Source organism: Homo sapiens, chromosome 4 (genome assembly GCF_000001405.40).
Source record: "Homo sapiens chromosome 4, GRCh38.p14 Primary Assembly".
Lineage (NCBI taxonomy): Eukaryota > Metazoa > Chordata > Mammalia > Primates > Hominidae > Homo > Homo sapiens.
In genome coordinates, this window is record NC_000004.12 from 84,337,694 (window position 1) to 84,343,852 (window position 6,159).

The 6,159-nt window shown below is 43.1% G+C and overlaps 1 annotated feature.

Annotated features, from left to right (window-relative positions):
• Positions 4,817-5,316: an enhancer, noted in NCBI's record as "H3K27ac hESC enhancer chr4:85263663-85264162 (GRCh37/hg19 assembly coordinates)". NCBI's record gives its function as "activates a minimal SCP1, AML or CMV promoter by ChIP-STARR-seq in naive H9 embryonic stem cells {active_cell/tissue: H9 hESC(naive)}" and the evidence as "EXISTENCE:reporter gene assay evidence [ECO:0000049][PMID:30033119]".

A 6,159-nucleotide genomic window follows, 5' to 3' on the forward strand; every position in this document is an offset into this window, starting at 1 on the left:
CAGAAATGCCAATGAGTCATATGTAAGGTCTCTTTGCTTAATTCCATATTTTTGGAGGATTTGTTCGTTTTTTAATTTTTTTTCTGCTTGCATTAATTTGAATGAACAGTCTCTTGAGTTCTGAGATTCTTTCCTCAGCTTGGTCTATTCTGTTATTAATGTTTCAAATTGCATTCTGAAATTCCTGTAGTGAATTTTTCATTTCCAGAAGTTCAGTTTGTTTTTTTCTTAAAATGGCTATGCTGTCTTTCAACTCTTGGACCATTTTACTGTTTCCCTTTGATTGGATTTCAACCTTTTCCTATATCTCAGTGAGCTTCCTTGCCATCCAGATTTTAAACTCTATGCCTGTTATTTAAGCCATTTCAGTCTGGTTAACAATCATTGCTGGGGAGCTAGTGTGATCACTTGAAGGTAAGAAGACACTCTGGCTTTTAGAGTTGCCAGAGTTCTTGGTTTTTCTCATCTGTGTGGGCTGATGTTCCTTTAATCTTTGAAGTTGCTGTTTTTTAGATGGAGATTTTTACTTTTATATTCTTTGATGCCATTGAGGGTTTGAGTGTGGTATAAATTGGGTTTAGTCAATTGGCTCCATTTCTGCATGCTTCAAGGGGACCAAAACTCAGCTCAACACTCATGGGTTGCATGCTCTAACCCTGGGGGACTGGGACCAGGCCTGTGGCTTTGTTCTCTGGAACCTCAAGGTTAAGTACCTGCTACAATGGAGAAGCTAAGATGTTCCCAGTCTATTGGTAGCAACACTCTGATGAAGGATTCTGGCAGCCACGCTCCAGCAGGGCAGCAGTGGGCCTCCACATGCATGTGCATCAACAGGGCAGCAGGGGTTCCTGCATGCACACATGCTGGTAGGGTGGCGGCAGGTCTGTGCGCATGTGCACACTGGTGGGGTGGTGGAAGGGGAGACTTTGGGCAAGTGCATGCCGGTGGGGAAGTCTACAGGCACGTGCATGCTGGCAGGGGGAGGCTGCAAGCAGCTGCATTATGGTGAGGGTTCCTTTGCAAAAGCACTCTGAGGGGTAGGCAGGGTCTACTGGCAAAAGAGCTGTGACAGTGGCCACTAGTAAGCTGAAGCTACATTGCAAGTGGGTACAGCCAGGCAGGAGCCCTGGGAAAGGCTGGCAGATAAGGGGTACTCAGATAAGTCGGGACTCATCCCACAGAGAAGCAAGAAAGCCCTTCTCTGTCCAGGTCCAGCAGCTATCAAAGGCTAAAGCAGCCTAGAGAAGTATGGCAAGCCTTGGGAGATGGGTGGCCCTGGCTGTAGTCCACTGCAGCCATTCCTAGGCCAAACCTGGGCTTCACACAGCTGGAGTTCTGTCTCTGCCAACTCTCTGGGTAGTTCTCCCTGCCAGCTGAGATGTCCATGAGGATCATGAGGTCTCCTGCAGCTAGGATCCCTGAGGTCTGTGGTGAGAGTGGGCCACTCTATACCTACTTCACTCACCCTTTCCCTAGGAGCAGCTCAGAGCCAGAAACAAGTCCTGTTGCTCAGCAACCTTGTACAGGTTTCCCAACTTCTTCCCCTTTCAGCCTGGGGTCCATGTCCTCCCTCTGTCCACTCTCAATGTCTTCTTTCTGAGAGAAGATCTGCTTAGTGTGTCAGTCTACTTGATGATCTGGTCTCTCTCAAAGGGCAAAGCTCTTCCTGGCTGTGTCTAGTCAGCCGTCTCGATTCTGCTGTTTGTTTTTAATATTTCATGTCTTTTTTGTTCTCCTGTTCCTCTTTTACAGCTTTTTTTGTGTTAAATAGATATGTTTAGTGTACCATTTTAATTCCTTTAAACTATATTTTTTAGTTATTGTCTTAATGGTTGCCCTAGGGATTGCAATATAATATATCACTATCAGGGAACCTGCCCCAATAGTCACGTAGGTTCTTTTCTATTTTCCTTAAGCGTCAGCCGGCTTGAAAAATAAAGGGACAGAGTACAAAAGAGAGAAATTTTAAAGCTGGGCATCCGGGGGAGACATCACATGTTGGTAGGTTCCATGATGCCCCACAAACCGCAAAAATCAGCAAGTTTTTATTAGGGATTTTCAAAAGGGGAGGGAGTGTGCGAACAGGTGTGAGTCACAGACATCAAGTACTTCACAAGGTAATAGAATATCACAAGGCAAATGGAGGCAGGGCGAGATCACAGGACCACAGGACCGGGGCGAAATTAAAATTGCTAATGAAGTTTTGGGCACCATTGTCATTGATAAAAACTTATCAGGAGACAGGGTTTTGAGAGCAACCGGTCTGACTAAAATTGATTAGGTGGGAATTTCCTCTTCCTAATAAGCCTGGGAGCACTATAGGAGACTGGGGTCTATTTCACCCCTACAGTCTACAGACCATAAAAGACGAGCACGCCCAGTGGGCCGTCTATAGACATATACCCCCAGGCGTGTATTCTCTTTCCCAGGGATGTTTCTTGCTGAGAAAAAGAATTCGGCAACATTTCTCCCATTTGTTTTTGAAAGAAGAGAAATATGGCTCTGTTCCGCCTGGCTCACGGGTGGTCAGAGTTTAAGGTTATCTCTCTTATTCCCTGAACAATTGCTGTTATCCTGTTCTTTTTTCATGGTGCCCAGATTTCATATTTGTTCAAACACACATGCTCTGCAATTTGTGCAGTTAACGCAATTATCACATGGTCCTGAAGTGACATACATCTTCCTCAGCTGACAGGATTAAGAGATTAAAGACAGGCATAGGAAATCACAAGGGTATTGATTGGGGAAGTGATAAGTGTCCATGAAATCTTCACAATTTATGTTTAGAGATTTCAGTAAAGACAGGCATAAGAAATTATAAAAGTATTAATTTGGGGAACTAATAAATGTCCATGAAATCTTCACAATCCATGTTCTTCTGCCATGGCTTCAGCCGGTCCCTCCGTTTGGGGTCCCTGACTTCCCGCAACATAACATAATCTACCTCATATTAACATTAACTTAATTCCCATAAAATATAGAAAATTTGATCCCTTATAGCTCCATTTTTCCCCCTCATTTGTACTATTATTGTAATATCAATTATATCTTCACACATATCTTCTGCTTTATGCAATTATGTTTTAAAGCAGATAAGAGGAGAAAAAAGAAAATGTCTTTATACTGTCTTTCACATTTACCTACTCACTTATTTTTACTAATGCTCTTTATTTCTTCATGTAGATTCAAATTTCTGGATATAGAATCTTGGTTCATAATTTTTTTCTTTTTCTTTCAGCACTTTGAATACGTCATCCCACTGCCTTGTGACCTGCATTGTTTCATATGAGAAGTCAGTTGTTAGTTTTATTTTGGTTTCTGTATATGTGATGGGTTGTTTTTCTCTAGTTGCTTCCAATATTCTTTTCTTTGGCTTCCAACAGTTCAACTATGTTGTGTCTGGGTGTAGGCTTCTTTGTATTAATCTCACAGCTTATTGAGCTTCTTCATGGTGTAAGTTAATGTTTTATTCAAAATTTTATCAGATTTTTCCCCTTTTCTCTCTCCTCCCCTCTGGCATTCTTACTGTGTGTGTGTTGGTGTATTTGATGGTATTCCATGGGCCTTTGAAGCTCTGTTCACTTTCCTTTATATTCCTTTATCCCTTAAAGTTTTTATTGATTTATCTTCAAGTTTTCTGATTCTGTCTTCCAGATTTAAATTTTTCAGTTGATCCCTTTTGTAATTTCTCTCCTTTTATTGATATTCTTCATTTAATGCATTATTGTTGTCATGCTTTCCTTTAATTCTTTAAACATAAATTTTCTTTACTTCTTTAAGTATATTTACAATAGCTGTTTTGAGGCTCTTCTTTACTAAATTCAATACCTGGGACCTCTCAGAGACAGTTTCTATTCACTGCTTTTTTTTTCTCCTGTGTAGGTTAGACTTTCCTGTTCTTATGCATATTTTGTTGTTTTTTATTAAAAACTAGGCATTTTGCACAATGTAACAACTTTAGGTTTTGATCTCCTTCCCTCCCCAGGAAGTTATTGCTTGTTTAGTGTTTGACAGACTATAGAATCTTCCTCCCTTACAGTGCTTAGCTGCTGATGTTTATGCTGAGTTTGTTGTTTTTAAATTCTTGTTTTCATAGTTAAGCCTGTCTTCCTAAGAGTTGTCTGTTGCTTAGCATAGCTTAGTCATCAGTGAAAGATTGGTGAAAAGTTGTGCTTAATCATCTTGAGCCAATAGAGTTTGAATGCATTCAATGTTTGGGGGGCAAGGCCAAGATGACTGACTAGAAACAGCTGCAGTTGGAGGTTCCCACTGGTAACTGATGTATCCAAGTTCTATCATCAGGACTGATTAGATGGTTGGCATGACCCAAGGAGACCAAGGAAAAGCAGGGTGGTGTGTCAGCCCACCTGAGAGCCACATGGGGCAAGGGGAGCCCCAAGGTCCCAGGCAAAAGAGGCAGGGAGTGAGCATGTTACCCAGCCTGGGAATCCATGCTTTTTCCACAGATCTATGCAATCTGCAGATCAGGAGATCCCACTCGTGAGCCTATGCCACAAGGACCTTGGGTCCCAAACACAGAGCTGTGCAGATTCTCAAAAGTCACTTTGCTAGAGTCTGCCTAAGACTGCCAAATTCCCAGGGGGAGGGGTGGCCATCATCCCTGCAGCTGCCTAAGAAAACTAAGCTCCCTGGGGGAAGGGATGGCAGCCATCATTGCAGCTGCCAGCTGCCTTAGACACTGAACTCCCAGAGGGGAAGGGCAGCAGCCATCACTACTGCTCCAGGCAGCCATTTTTCCCGTGCTAGTATAAGGGGGACCAGACAGCTTGGACTCAAGCAGTATTCCCCACAGTGCAGCACACTGGCTGCGGCAGATTGTGGCCAGACTGCCTCTTTAGGCCAAACCCTGACCCATCCCTCCTCAATGGGTGGGGCCTCCCTACAGGAACTTCAGCAACTATAGCCAAGGGCTTAGGGACAGAACTCTGATCTCCCTGGGCCTGAACCCCTAGGGGAAGGGGTGACCATGGTCTCCATTGACCAGCACACACAGTCTTTCCCCCTGCTAGCTCTGAGAAATCCAGGCTGAACAGACAAGTGGGTTTTCCTAGCTCTAGCAGCACACCCCCTCCACCAAGGGACAGCCAGAATGCTTCATTAAGTGGGTCCTGGATCCCATGCCCCCCAGCTGGGTGAGACCACGCCCGGCTAATTTTGTATTTTTAGTAGAGATGGGGTTTTTTCATGTTGGTCAGGCTGGTCTCAAACTCCCGACCTTAGGTAATCCACCCACCTCGGCCTCCCAAAATGCTGGGATTATAGGCGTGAGCCACTGCGCCCGGCCCAACATTCTTAAAGAAAATAATTTCCATCCCAGAATTTCACATCTGGCTAAGCTAAGCTTCGTAAATGAAGAAGAAATACAATCCTTTTCAGATAAGCAAATGCTGAGGTAATTTGTCACCACCAGGCCTCCCTTACAAGGTCTCCTGAAGGAAGCACTAAAAATGGGAAGGAAAAATTGGTACCAGCCACCGAAAAAACATACTGAAGTAAAAGACCAATGACATTATGAAGAAACTGCATCAACTAGTCTGCAAAATAACCAGCTAGGATCAGATAACAGGATCAAGTTCACATGTAACAATATTAACCTTAAATGTAAATGGGCTAAATGCCCCAATTAAAAGACACAGACTGGCATATTGGATAAAGAGTCAAGACCCATTGGTGTGCTGTATTCAAGAGACATATCTCACATGCAAAGACACACATAGGCTCAAAATAAAGGGATGGAGGAAAACTTACCAAGCAATGGAAAGCAGAAAAAAGCAGAGGTTGCAATCTTAGTTTCTGACAAAACAGACTTTAAACCAACAAATATCAAAAAAGACAAAGAAGGCCATTACATAATGGTAAAGGGATCAATTCAACAAGAAGAGCTAACAATCCTAAATACAAATGTATCCAATACAGGAGCACTCAGATTCATAAAACAAGTTGTTAGAGACCTACAAAGAGACTTAGACTCCCACAAAATAATAGTGGGAGACTTTAACACCCCACTGTCAATATTGAGACAGAAAATTAACAAGGATATTCAGGACTTGAACTCAGCTCTGGATCAGGTGGACCTGACAGATATCTATCCAACTCTCCAACCCAAACCCACAGAATATGCATTCTTCTCAGTGCCAC